This window comes from Homo sapiens, chromosome 15 (genome assembly GCF_000001405.40).
Source record: "Homo sapiens chromosome 15, GRCh38.p14 Primary Assembly".
Taxonomy (NCBI): domain Eukaryota; kingdom Metazoa; phylum Chordata; class Mammalia; order Primates; family Hominidae; genus Homo; species Homo sapiens.
The window spans coordinates 78635418-78649670 of NC_000015.10; the positions used below are offsets into that span (position 1 = coordinate 78635418).

General features: G+C 49.0%; 1 protein-coding gene across 10 annotated transcripts in view, besides 2 other annotated features; it reads right to left on the reverse strand.

Moving 5' to 3' along the window:
- CHRNB4 (cholinergic receptor nicotinic beta 4 subunit) overlaps positions 1-14253 on the reverse strand; it is a 37531-nt gene that overhangs the window by 11307 nt on the left and 11971 nt on the right. For 5 of the 10 annotated variants that reach the window (NM_001256567.3, NM_000750.5, XM_017021889.3 and 2 more), the window contains exons 1-2: positions 5662-5793; positions 22-170 (exon numbers count right to left, since the gene is read on the reverse strand). In NM_001256567.3, coding sequence (NP_001243496.1) covers positions 22-170; positions 5662-5716 — 204 coding nt within the window. In that variant the 5' untranslated portion in view covers positions 5717-5793. Of the gene's footprint in view, positions 1-21; positions 171-1519; positions 1777-1847; positions 3917-5661; positions 5794-13961; positions 14023-14253 lie in introns of those variants that run through there. The other 5 variants (XM_011521187.3, XM_011521186.3, XM_017021886.2 and 2 more) reach the window with 4 other exon arrangements.
- Positions 2272-2773: an enhancer, noted in NCBI's record as "H3K4me1 hESC enhancer chr15:78930031-78930532 (GRCh37/hg19 assembly coordinates)". NCBI's record gives its function as "activates a minimal SCP1, AML or CMV promoter by ChIP-STARR-seq in primed H9 embryonic stem cells {active_cell/tissue: H9 hESC(primed)}" and the evidence as "EXISTENCE:reporter gene assay evidence [ECO:0000049][PMID:30033119]".
- Positions 5712-5771: a silencer, noted in NCBI's record as "silent region_6714". NCBI's record gives its function as "represses an Ori minimal core promoter by ATAC-STARR-seq in GM12878 lymphoblastoid cells {active_cell/tissue: GM12878}" and the evidence as "EXISTENCE:reporter gene assay evidence [ECO:0000049][PMID:35858748]".

The window sequence follows — 14253 nt, forward strand, 5'->3', positions numbered from 1 at the left end:
ACAGCTGCCCTCTGCACCTACCACGCTGATAAGCTGGGCCAGGGAGAGCTGCAGCTTGATGGAGATGAGCTGTGAGGAGCTGGTGGCTGGGCGGATCAGGTTATTGTAACGGGTTTTGTTCAGAAGGTCGTCCATCAGCTTTTCCTCCGCATTGGCCACGCGGCAGTTCCCTGAGAAAACACACAGTCAGACCTGCTGGGCCCTTGTGCACCTGACCCCCACTGCAGCCTGTGGCAGCAGGGAGAGCTGAGAGGGAGCACAGGTGCCCTTAGGGCTGGCTGAAGCAGCGAAGGTGCTGGCAGGCCTGTCTCTCCTTGAGGACTTCAAATTAAATACACTCAACACAGAGCTCAGCTGTCTCCTCCCATGCCATACTTCTTCCTCCTCCTCTTCCCTCTAGCAGTGAATGGCATCCCACTCTACATATCTGGTACAAAAGCTGGGTGTCTCTTCTTGACCTCTCCCTTGGTTCATCCAAGTGGCCACTTAGTCCTGTCTTTTTTTGTATGAGACAGAGTCTCACTCTGTTGCCCAGGCTGGAGTGCGGTGGTGTGATCTCGGCTCACTGCAACCTCTGCCACCTGAGTTCAAGCAATTCTCCTGTCTCAGCCTCCAGAGTAGCTGGGATTACAGGCCTGCGCCACCACACCCGGCTAATTTTTGTATTTTAGTAGAGACAGGGTTTCACCATATTGGCCAGGCTGTTCTTGAACTCCTGGCCTCAGGTGATCCACCCACATTGGCCACTCAAAGTGCTGGGATTACAGGTGTGAGCCACCATTCCCGGTCCTAGTCCTATCTTTTACCTTCCAAGTCCCTCAGTCTGTTCTCCTTATCTCTACTGCTACAGCCATGTCCCCACCTCCCCACCCCTGCCCTCCTCCTGGTCTCTCCACCCGCAGTCTCTCCCTGCTATCCATGTACCATACAGTGCCAGAGTGGTCTTTCTACAGCAAACTGGTCTAGGGCCCTTCCCTACCCACAACTCTCAGAGCTGTAGGTGGACTTAAAAATCAAATGTTTTGGCTTGGCGTTCAAGGCCCTTTCCCCACTGACACTGGCTTATCTTTCTCAATCTGATTTTCTCCCACCTCTCTACCTCTACCCCAGATACTCAGATACTCTCTCTTCTGGCCATAGCCTACTGTTTGCCTTTCCCCCTGTGACCTTCACTGTCTCACTTCCTGTTTTTTCCTTTTTTTTTTTTTAGAGACAGGGTCTTGCTATGTTGCCCAGGCTGGTTTCAAGTGATTCCTCCTGGATTCAAAGGATCCTCCCACCTCAGCCTCCTTAGTAGCTGGGACTACAGGTGTGCACCACCACACCCAGCTTGTCTCACTTCTTTGAACAGACTCTTTCTTCTGCCAAGATTGCCCCCAGCCCACCAGTTATGAATTATCTGAGGGTCTATCTTGTGCCAGGGACTTTACTACATTTCGAGGGTAACAGCAAGCAAAAACCAGAAACGGTTCCTGACACCAGAGCACTTACAGTGCAGGGGAGCAGCCCCATTACTCACATGTGAGTTTGGGTGCAGAAATGGGTACGAGGTGGTGCTTTCCCTAAGAAGAAACAGAGCTGAGATGGAGGGGATTTTCCGGGTTCAGACTTAGACCTACAGAGTGTAAGGTCCCTCTGAGACACCAAATGGAGGGGTCCAGCTGGCAGCTGGCTCCTCATCTGGAGCTTCGAGGAGAGGTCTTAGCTCAGAGCCATATTCAAGACCCAGCCTAAATACCGCCTCATGCAGGGAGCCCCCCTGACCTTCCATAGCCTCAAATCTGCCCCTCTGCATACCCCCGATCCCTTGCCAAGTGGCATTTGGGTCTTTATGTCATCTCCCTCACCTGTCTGGGAGTAAAGGTGAGGTTCAGGGACTTGGGCTTGTGTACTCTAGTGTCTTCAGGGAGAATGTGTAAAGCATAGAGGGGGCAGCTTGGAAAAAGGGAGACTCAGAGGAGACTCAAGGACATCTGAGGAGGCAAGCCTGGGAGGAGGAAAAGAGATGAGAATGAGCAGAAGAAACAGTGCCGGGGCAGGGAAGCAGGTGGGAGGATCAGGGAATAAGAGGGGCCGGAGAGGTGGGGGCGGGCATGCTGGTGAGGGGCTGCCTGGCTCGCCAGGCTCAGGAGTCGATTACATCTTCCTGCAAGGGCCAGTTCACCTAGTTGCACCAAACCCCTTCCTCTGTGGGTAGGGCCAGAAGGCCCAGAGCACAGACCAACCCAATTAGGCAGGCCTGAGGTGGACTTAGGGGTGGGTGCTGGGCTGGACTCCTGGTTGTGGGGAGCAGCCGCCACCCTGCCGACTTCATCCACTTTCCAACTCGCTGCCTATCTGGAACAGATGCAATATTTAGTGCCTTGTGAAAGATGCTCCTAGTGCACCTGCTGCCTGCTGCCCCTCCCCCAGGCTGCCCTGGGCTCTCCAGAGGGGGGTCCTATGGATGCTTGGCCTAGATTCTGAGCCCTGCTTCTTATATCCAGGACCCCTTTCCCAGAGGCCAGCTGCTTGAGTACCCTGGAAGCCAGTCTGTAGCCCCAGGCTAGAGCTGGGTCCCTCCCACAGCCCTTCTTTAGCATGTTTGTTTGGACTGACTTATTTCATAGAGAGGGGTGTGTCTTGCCCAAGCCCATCTGGCATGTCTGAGGCAGCTCTGGGGTCAGAATCTGCAGCTCCCATCCCCCAGCCCTGCAATACTAGGGGAGGCTGGATCCCACATCTCTGAAGTCCCACTAGGCTGGTCTGACAGGGCTCCCAAGCGCAGGGCTGCTCTGCAGGCTGTGGGGCTCATGCTCCAGCTCCGAGCCCACCTGATGTGCCCGGGTGGCTCACCTTTGGGCCTGTCCTGCCTCTCAGGCATTCAGCTGACCCGGAGGGACTCCCCCATCTTGACCACCAGCTGTGGGCTTGAGTTAGAGGTTCCCAGAACTTTAGACCATTTAGCCCAACCCCCTATTTCTCAGCTGGGGAAACTGAGACCAAAGAGGGAAGAAACTTTCTCAAGTGCCCCCAGCAAGTCAGAGGAGGAACCAGGTATAGGAGCCTCTTTCCGACAGAGGTCTTCCCTGACCCCTGAGCCTTCTTCAGTGCCTCATTAGCTTCCCTGTAAGGAGACTGCCCCACAGAGCCTGGAAATGGTGCTGTCCCGGGCAGTGTGTGCCCATGACTGCGCCTGTGTTTGTACTTGTGAGTGTATGGCCGGGGGGCCGGGGGGGTGGTGCACTGAAGGGTGGGAATAAACAGCAGGGATACTGGGGACTGGAATGCACCCCACTTGCCCCCCAAAAAGGGGCGACGGAGCCCAGCCCAGCCCAGCACATGCTTAGACTTTCCAATCTACTGAATGTCTGTGAGGCCTGCTGGGCTCAAAGGACAAGGAACAGGCCTTTCACCCCCAGGTGGCAGGGGTGGCCCAGGATGGGTGGAAGCTTCTGCAGCACGGTCAGGGGTCACATCCCAGCCCATGGGCTGACAGTTAAACAGAGAAGCCGCCACTAGGGGTCAGTCATGATTCAATGATTCTGATGAGGAGTGGGCCCCACCAGCCTCTGCCCAGGGTTTTGTCTTCCAGGCCTTCTTGGGAAGAATTGTTCCCTGCCAGAAAGGGGCTAATAATCTGAGAGGAAGCCATAGCTGGAATTCTAAACTGTGTGAGTGTGTGTCCAGTTTGGAAAGGTATATCCAATCTAAAAATTTGTATTGAAAAAATGGAAAGATATACCTATTGTTTTGGAATACAAACTACAGAAAGTAACAGTTAACAGAATCTTATTGGAAAGATTAGATTCTGCATCTGGAAAGGCAGAGTGATTTTTCAACTGGGGTGTATGTCCTTAACTGAGGAAGGGAACATGATATTTATATTAAAAGGCAGCTATGATTTTCTTTTTTCTGAGACGGAGTCTTGATCTGTCGCCCAGGCTGGAGTGCAGTGGCATGATCTCAGCTCACTGCTGCAACCTCCACCTCCCGGGTTCATGCCATTCTCCTACCTCAGCCTCCCGAGTAGCTGGGACTACAGGCGCCTGCTACCACGCCCGGTTAATTTTTTGTATTTTTAGTAGAGACGGGGTTTCACCACATCAGCCAGGATGGTCTCGATCTCCTGACCTCGTGATCCGCCCGCCTCTGCCTCCCAAAGTGCTGGGATTACAAGTGTGAGCCACCGCGCCTGGCCTATGATTTTTCTTTATGTAGAGAATTTATCTTTTATAAAGAGCTTATTACATACTATTAGTGCTTCTTCAATCATGTGTATTAATCACCTGGATTCCTAGGCTTTATTCCCAGAGATTCTGATCCTGTAAGCCTAGGGTGGGACCCAGAAATCTGTACAGGGTGATACAGGCTGCCCCAGGACCACACCTAAGAAACACTGCCACTGGCCCCCACACACATCCAAGTCTCCAAATATGTAGGCAGGGCACATTCTCTCCATAGAACAGATGGGGAACCTGAGGTCCAGGATGGTGAAAGAAATGGCACAGGGTCACCCAGCTAGTAGAAGAGCCACGATACACAGACTGCCTGCAGACACCATCTTTGATGAGAGCTCCACCTCTTTATAGGAGTAGTACAAACTACTTTCTGTAGTTTGTATTCCAAAATGATGGGTATATCTTTCCATTTTTTCAATGTAAATTTTTAGATTGGATATGCTTTCCCAAACTGGACACACACTCACAGTTTAGAATTCCAGCTATGGCTTCCTCTCAGATTATTAGCTCCTTATATATTCCCTGACTCCTACCTCCTGCCTCCCCTATGGTGGGTCTCTATCCAAGGAAGAGGTAGCCCTGGTCCTCTAGGCTGACTGGGGCTTGGAGGAAAAGCCTGGGTGACTGTAGGAGCTAGAAGGGCCCTTGGAATTCAGGTGGGGAAACTGAGGCCCTGAGAAGGCAGTCCTCACATTTGCATTCTACCTGGAGAAGGGCTGGGTCTCCTTCCTGAGTGGCAGGCCCAACTTCACCAGCCTGGCCCTCAGTCAAGCTGGCTGTCCAGGCCCGGCACACCTCGGGTGGGTGACCAGAGGCAGCGGTGCCATAAAATGTGTTTGCTGGGAGATCCACCCCCAAAGCACAAAACATTCCAGGGCTGCTGATTTGGGCAAGCCCCCTTCCTTCTCGGCCCAGTGTCCCCATCTCTACCACCGCTGTGTGGGAGGGGACTTCTCTCTAAGGCTGAGCAGCAGATTCGCTCCCAAGCGCCTACACCGCCCAGGTGGCCGGCTCCTCTGCACCCACGCTTCAAGAAAGTCACCTCTTAGGCAAGGAAGGAGCCTCGGCCCTGTTGGGAGCGGGAGTCGGTATACTCCCAGCCTCCCAGACTGCTGGGGATGACCCGCGGTGCCTGCAAAGCCGGTGTCATCCAGCCCACTGCCCAGCCCACAGACACTCGCCCTGGAGGGTGGCCCTGGCCCTGGCAGCGGCTCCGAGAAGAGGCGGCCCCCACTCCAAACCTGGCAGACCCACCCACGCAGGCCCGCCCCCGCTGCCTCAGCGAGTGGGCTCAGCCCTGCCCACGCCCCCATCTGGCCGGGACAATCTCGGGCCACTCCCCCGGGCGCAGGGCACCCTCCCTTCCCTCCCACCTGTGGCCAGTCCAGCCCCTTTCAGCCCAACCCAGGCGCCCCTCCCTCCTTCCCCGAAAAGAACTCACCGCGCCCGCAAAGGGCGACCAGGAAGAAAAGGACCAGGGAAGGCGCGCGCCTCATGGCCGGCGGGGCCGGGTGGCAGCCGCCGCGAGCTCCGCTGTGGGGTCACAGGGCACCCGTGAGCCGCGCGGTCGAGTGAGCGCCGGTCCTGGCCCCCGAGGTTTGCTGGCGGGGCGGCGCTCACTAGGACCCCGCGGAGAGCCCCGCCGAGCCCCGCCCACTCAGGGATGTACTGGGCCCGCTGCTCCGCCCCGACGCCCCCTGGGTGGTCTGGACCCCACCTGCCGCCTGGCTTCCCTATCTCTTCGGGCCTCGCAACCTTCCCCCAAGGAAGGCAGGCAGGACAGTGCGGGCACCCTTGGTACAGCTGGGGAGACTGAGCCCTCGAGGGCGGCGGACGCTAGCGCAGGATCCCTCTACTGTTGGGGAAAGAGCATGTGCTTGAGCGGGGAGGTCCTTGGGCTTTGCCTTCCCTCACCTCGAAGACGCTTTTAGGCAAATGAGTCATCTCAGGTTCATTCGCATGGGGTTTGCTGAAAGAAAGGACACTGCTGGGTGAGCCGACGCGAGGGAGCGCTGCTCTCTGCAGACTTTGCAGGGAGGACACTTAGGAAAAGTGAGTGGAATCTGGGAGGGTGAATAGCTCAGGGCCCCTCACCCAGCTTGGGGGCTGGGGAAGGAGCAGAGTTAAAAGGGAATGGGGCTGGAGTGGGCTGGCCTCGTCCTCCCCCATGGGCCTTCCAATCTGGGCTGAACAGAGGCCGCTCAGGTGATTCAAGCACATCCCTCTACTAGCCAGGGTGTCCTTGACGCGTTTTTGGAATCAGTACCATTCCCTTGCGGGTGGGGGGACAGCCCCCACCTCGGGAACTGCAGCCTCAATTCTGGATCTAGAAGGGCCTCTGGCAGCTTCTCCAACTCTCTCAGTCCGGTCCTCATACCTGCTCCCTTGTGTGGGCCCTAACAGGCAAATCTGACAACTGGAGGAACAAGACAGGAAGGGCGGGGTCTAAGGGAACCGCCTGTAAAAAGGCAGCTTTGCCACCTTATCTCCAGGACTCTCAGTCTTGCTTTCATATTGCTCCCCCCACGTCATTTTGCTATAATCTGACATGTTGACATATGGTCTTTAAAAGCAACAACAACAACACTGTTGAAGTGAAGCGGACTTCCCCTTTGGGATGCTTTGGAGAAGTTAGGATTGAGGGCATCCTCTCTTCTCCAAACTGCAGCAGTAATAGGTAAGATATGTAAAGTAAATAAAGACATGGCAAGGCTGGAAAATAGGATAATCATCTCCATGAACCAAAACCAGAAAAGAAATGCAAAGTGGTTGGAGGCTGAAGAGCCTGGAGCCTGTTGGGCTTTGGAAACCAAAGACAGTGGCAGGTCCTTTGGGATAAGCGGGGACCAAAAGACTCTTGGCTAGAAGCTGGGAGCTTGGGTGTATGCCAGTACTTGAAAGGATGCTGGGAGCGGGAGGCCTGCTGCTGATCCGTGGTCTGTATCCCTGGCTTTATCGGATGTGTACATCCCCAATATACCCAGGACAGGAGCTTGGAAAGGACATAAAACCTGGAGGCCACTGCAGAGCTGTAAAAGTTAGGCTAGCAAAGGGGATACGATGAAATAGGTTTTTATAGAGCTTTGACATGTATTTTCTTTAAATAAAAAGAAGAGCTAATTATCTATTGAGAATAATATAATCTTGGTACAAAACTAGAACAAGGATGTACAAGGAAAACACATTATAGAACAATCTGAATTATGGGTCTTTGTCACAGAGAGACAGCACAGAGCAGTGGCCAGTGCATTGCTTCTGGAGCCAGGCATCCGGATTTGTATTCTGGTGCCACTAATCTTCTCTGTGACCTTAGGCAAAATGATTTGCCTTCAGTGTGCCTTAACTTCCTCATATATAAAGGGGGAAAATAACCTTCACAATAAGCCTTTTAGGATAAAATGAAATAATTCATGTAAAGTAACTTAACAATACCCAGAACCTAGAAAACCAAATAAATGTTAGCTATTAACTTTTATGAACATGGATTCCAAAATTTTAAATAATACCAAGTTGAATACAGCAATGTACACACACACAAACAATGCATCATGATGAATTAGGTTTCATTACAATAACGTAAGGGCAGAGTCAACATCAGATAATTCACTATTAGCAAGTTAGGTTTTTTTTTTGAGACAGGGTTTCACTGTTGCCCAGGCCTGAGTGGAGTGGTGGGATCTTGGCTCACTGCAACCTTCACCTCCCAGGCCCAAGCGATCTTCCCATCTCAGCCTTCCAAAGTGCTGGGATTACAGGCATGCAACACCATGCCTGGCCCTATCTTTCTTAATGTGTAGCAATTATCATAATTAATGGTAAAACTTTAGAAGCAATTTCCATCAAAGTTAGGACGTAAACAAGGGTGCTTTCTATCACTGTTTCTTTTGAACATGGCACTGGAGGTCCTAGGCAATGTGTTAGGTTAATACATATGAAATTGCCATTTTTTTAAGATTATGAGATGCCCAACATCAGAAATGTATGTGATTCAACCTATAATAGAAATGAAGGAAATAAAATTTTAAAATTGGAAAGAAAAAACTACCTGTATTTGCAGGCAGGTATGATTGTCTATGCAGAAAATCCAAAAGAATATACAGATAAATTGTTAAGACTAGTAAGAGTTAGCAAGGTTGAATTCAAGATCATCTTTAAAAAAGAAAAAACCTATTAGCATTCCTATACATCAGTAATAACAAATTAGAAAATGAAATAGAAAAAGAGATTCTAGGCCGGGCACGGTGGCTCACGCCTATAATCCCAGGCCTTTGGGAGGCTGAGGCGGGCGGATCACGATGTCAGGAGATCGAGACCATCCTGGCTAACACGGTGAAACCTCGTCTCTACTAAAAATACAAAAAAAAAAAAAAAAAAAATTAGCTGGGCATGGTGGCGGGTACCTGTAGTTCCAGCTACTTGGGAGGCTGAGGCAGGAGAATGGTGTGAACCCAGGAGGCAGAGCTTGCAGTGAGCGGAGATTGCACCACTGCACTCCAGCCTGGGTGACAGAGCGAGACTCTGTCTCAAAAAAAAAAAAGATTCTATTCACAATAGTAACAAAAACCTTAGAATATATCTAGCAAAATATACGTAAGGCCTTTCATGAAGAGTGTTGCTATGGTCTGAATCTGTCTTCCAAAACACATTTGTTAAAATTTAATTGCCAAGATAATATTAAGAGGTAGGGCCTTTAAGGAGTGATTAAGTCATAATGGCAAGTCCTCATAGATGACATTAGTGTCTTATAAAAGGGCTTGTGTGGGGGGTTTATCTGTTCCTTCTGCTGCATGAGAACATAGCATTTGTCCCCTCCAGAGGAGCCAGCATTCAAGGCACCATCTTGGAAGCAGATACCAGGCCCTCACTAGACACTGTACCTGCTGGTGCCTTGATCTTGGACTTCCCAACCTCCAGAACTGAGAAAATAAACTTCTGTTGTTTGTAAATTACCCAGTCTCTGGTATTTTGTTATAGCACTACAAAAGGCCTAAGACAAATACAAAAATACTCAGGAAGAGCTGACTAAATTGAAATATAGACCATATATATTATGAATGGGAGGACTCAATACTATAAACATATTACTTCTCACCAAATTAATCTATAAATTCAAGCAATTCTCAAACAAATCCCAATAGATTTTTTTGTGAACTTGACAGGCTGATTCTAAAATTCATGTAGTAATTGAGGGGCCAAGAACAGTGTGCAGACACCGCTGGTGCCCTCTCCATACCCCTTGGCATTGCCAACCACATATATGCCAGGGAGCTGATGCTTTTAAGAGCACCCTCAGTGTATTCATCATGCCTTTTCATTTCCTGAATTTCCTGATGTTTTGACAGCTGAGGCCTTGCTGATCCTGGAGAGACTGTTCCTCCCAGGGCTAGCCAATTCCCCGAGACAGTAAGGGACTCACCTGCAAATGCACCTTCCATACGCAAACCAGCCAATCCGAAGCCCACACCCCCAGCCACCTCCTTCATCAGACTGTTATACTGGGCCATTGTCCGTCTACCCTAGTCATCCCAGGGCCATGAACCAGACAACCAGGGACAGCCCTATGCTCTGGAGCCAAGTGAAATTATTTAAACTATTAATAGCTAATCCTGTGCCTGCTTACCCTGGCTTGACTTGCCTTTCTCTTGGATGCCACAAATAAAGCTCTTGCCCACATTTCCCCCCAGCTCCCTTTACTTATTGACCAACCCTGGTGCCTCCCCATGTATCCCTGCCTGGCATGCCATGTCTCTTGTTTCTAGGGACCTCTGAGTATAAAAAACTCTACTTCAGGACAGTCATTTCCATATCTGTGTGTCTTGCCATATCTAATGAAAATCTTGAGTGCATTTTAAAACAGCCATGAAGAAAGGGAGTTGGTGGATAAATACCACAGCTTCACCACCCCTCAGCTGGAATAACTGAAGGGCCCAGTGAGATTGAGCCCCAGTTACCTTTTGTGGCAACCTGCTCATTAATGTACCATCTATTGACTTTCTTCCCTTCCCTATCTCACTTCTCACCCTCTTACCTTGCTTCCTGGAATCATCTTCTAAAAAAATGCATGCACCCAAATCCTTGACTCAGGCTCTCCTTCAAGCAGAACCCAAATGAATATATTTTTAAAGAATAAGAATGACATAGGCCGGGCACGGTGGCTTACCCCTGTAATCCCAGCACTTTGGGAGGCTGGGGCGGGTGGATAATGAGGTCAAGAGATTGAAACTATCCTGGCCAACATGGTGAAACCCTTTCTCTACTAAAAATATAAAAAAATTAGCTGGGTATGGTGGCGCACACCTGTAGTCCCAGCTACTTGGGAGGCTGAGGCAGGAGAATCACTTGAACCTGGGAGGCAGAGATTGCAGTGAGCCAAGATTGTGCCACTGCACTCCAGCCTGGGCGACAGAGTGAGACCGTCTCAAAAAAAAAAAAAAAATGAATGACATAGAGGTCAGTGAGTAATGGAAGGTTTAAGATTTGTGTACATACGATAATGTCATAGGAATCAGGACAGTTAAATGTTGAGGGGGATGTACAAATTGACCACTGGAAGAGAACGGGAGCCCAGCAAAAGATCCATGACACACGGAAACTTGAAATAAGACAGAAGTTGCCTTGTAGATCATTGGGGAAAGGATGGATATTCTAAAAACGATGTTGGGACAATTGATTATCCATATGGGAAGTAAATACAACTAGATCCCTAGTTCACACCGTACCAAAAATAAAATCCAGGTTCATTAAAGATTTAGTTTGAAAAGCAAAACTTTGAAAGCATTTAGAAGCAAACATAGGAGGATATCATTATGACTGGGGTAGTGTCTTAGTGTGGGCTGCTCTAACAAAATGCCATAGAATGGGTGGCTTAAACAACACACGTTGATTTCTCCCAGTTCTAGAGGCTAGATGTCCAAGATCAGGGTGCCACCATGGTCGGCTCTTGGTGAGGGCCCACCTCCTGGTTCACAGAGGGCCATCTTTTTGTATCCTCACATGGCAGAGAGCAAGACAGACAGGAGGCAACTCTCCTGCATCTCTTCTTATGAAGGTGGTGATCCCATCACGAGAGCTCCACCCTCCTGACCTAATTACTTTCCAAAGGCCCCATCTCTTAACACCATTATATTGGAGGCCAGGATTTCAACATATAAATTTAGAGGGGACACAAATATTCAATCCATAACAAGTAGAAAGTAATTTCCTAAACAAAATACTGAAAGTGGCTGGGTGTGGTGGTTCATACCTGTAATACCAGCATTTTGGGAGGCTGAAGCAGGAGGATTGCTTGAGCCCAGGAGTTCCAGACCAGCCTGGGTGACATAACAAGACCCCATCTCCTCTCTCTATATAAAAAATTAGCTGGGTGTGCTGGTGTGTGTCTGTAGTCCTGTACTTAGGAGGCTGAGGCGGGAGGATCACTGGAGCCCAGGAGTTTGAGGCTGCAGTGAGTTGTGATTGAGCCACTGCACTCCTGCCTGGGCAACAAAGTGGGACTGTCTCAGGAGAAAAAAATATTAAAAGCATAAGCTCAAAAGAAAAATGGTAATAGATTTGACTTCACTAAAGTATTTAAACTTCTATTCAACCAAACATACCACAAATGAAGTTTAAAGAGAAACCGTAGATTAGAAGATATTTGCAATTCATATAATCAAAGGATACATATCTAGAATATTTAAGGAATTATATATATAAACATTTTATATATATAAACATTAATATTTTAAAAAGTCAACCAACCAAAAGAAAAGTGGGCAAACAATATGAACATGTAATTCATAGAAAAGAAAACTTGAATGACCTGCAAACATAGGAAGAGGTTTACCATGGATAGGAGTGAGGGGAATGGACACAGAAGTGATAATGAGATACTAGCATTCCTATACATCAATAACAACAGGTTAGAAAATGTATTAGAAAGAGATTCAGCCGGGTGCAGTGGCTCACGCCTGTAATCCCAGCACTTTGGGAGGCCAAGGCGGGCAGATCACAAGGTCAGGAGATCGAGACCATCCTGGCTAACATGGTGAAACCCCGTCTCTACTAAAAATCCAAAAAAAAAAAAAAAAAAAATTAGCCGGGCGTGGTGGCAGGCACCTGTAGTCCCAGCTACTTGGGAGGCTGAGGCAGGAGAATGGCATGAATCCAGGAGGCGGAGCTTGCACTGAGCCGACATCACACCACTGCACTCCAGCCTGGGCAACAGAGCGAGAGACTCCATCTCAAAAAAAAAAAAAAAAAAAAAAAAGAGATTCTATTCACAATGGCAACAAAAACCTTACGATAAATCTAGCAAAATATACATAAGGCCTTTCATGAAGAGTATTGCTATGGTCTGAATGTGTCTCCCAAAATTCAAATTAATTGCCAAGATGATAGTATGAAGAGGTAGGGCCTTTAAGAAATGATTAAGTCATAAGGGCGAGCCCTCGTGGATGAGATTAGTGCTTTATAAAAGGGCGTGGGGGTGGTAGGGCCGGGCGAGGTGGCTCATGCCTGTAATCCCAGCACTTTGGAAGGCCTAGGCGGGTGGATCACGAGGTCAGGAGATCAAGACCATCCTGGCTAACGCAGTGAAACCCTGTCTCTACTAAAAATACAAAAAATTAGCTGGGTGTGGTGGCAGGCACCTGTAGTCCCAGCTACTCAGGAGGCTGAGGCAGGAGAATGGCATGAACCTGAGAGACGGAGCTTGCAGTGAGCCGAGATCACACCACTGCACTCCAGCCTGGGCGACAGAGCGAGACTTGCCTCAAAAAAAAAAAAAAAAAGGAAAAAGAAAAGGCATGGGGGTGAATCTGTTCCTTCTGCTGCATAAGAATATATTCTTATTGTTGGCTGGGCACAGTGGCTCACACCTGTAATCCCAGCACTTTGGGAGGCCGAGGCGGATGGATCACAAGGTCAAGAGTTCGAGACCAGCCTGGCCAACATGGTGAAACCCTGTATCTACTAAAAATACAAAAATTAGCCAGGTGTGGTGGCAGATGCCTGTAATCCCAGCTACTCAGGAGGCTGAGGCACAGAATTGCTTGAACCCGGGAGGCGGAAGTTGCAGTGAGCCAAGATCGGCGCCACTGCACTCCAGCCTGGGCGACAGAGTGAGACTCTGTCTCAAAAAAAAAAAAAAAAAAAAAGTAGATATCTTATTGTTATTTTGAGACAGGGTCTCACTCTGTTGCCCAGGTTGGAATACAGTGGCACAATCACTGCTCACTGCTGCATCAACCTCCTAGGCTCAAGTGATCCTCCCACCTCAGCCTCCCAAGTAGCTGAGACCACAACCATGCCACCACACCTGGCTAATTTTTGGGATTTTTTGTAGAGACCGGGTCCCACTATGTTGCCCAGGCTGGTCTCAAACTCGTGGGCTCAAGCAGTCCTCCTGCCTTGGCTTCCCAAAGTACTGGGATTACAAGTGTGAGCCACCGCTCCCGGCAGTTCATATTATTTTGAAAGCCCTATAACAGCAAGTGCTAGTAAAGATGTGGAACAGCAGGAGCACTCGCCAACTGCTGCTGGGGATGTAAACTGGGGCTGCCAGTTTGGAGAGAAATTGATAATGTATTGTAAAGTCAAAGATGCTTCCGTCCAATGCCTAGCCCTTCCATTTCTCGGTGTGTACCCCAGAGACACTCATTTATATGATAATGCTCATAGTCACCCTTGTGTAGTGAGAATTGGAAACCACTTAGATGTCCATCAACAAGAACACGGAGGAATGAACTGTGGGATACTCACATAATACAATATGATCTGGAGCTGGGGCCAGCAAACTACCGCCCATCTGCCAAATCTGGAGCTAAGAAGAATGGTTTTTATAACATTAAAGCACTATAAAAAACAAAACAAAATAAAACAATGCAAAGCAAAGACTGCAACAGAGACCATATGTTGCCTGCAAAGCCTAAAATATCTGCTATATGGCTTTTTACACAAAAAGTTTGCTGACCCTTGATCTAAAGTCACAATTATTAACAAAAATCTTTAAAAAATGTTAAGCAAAAAAGTTTTGAATATGTACAAATCACAT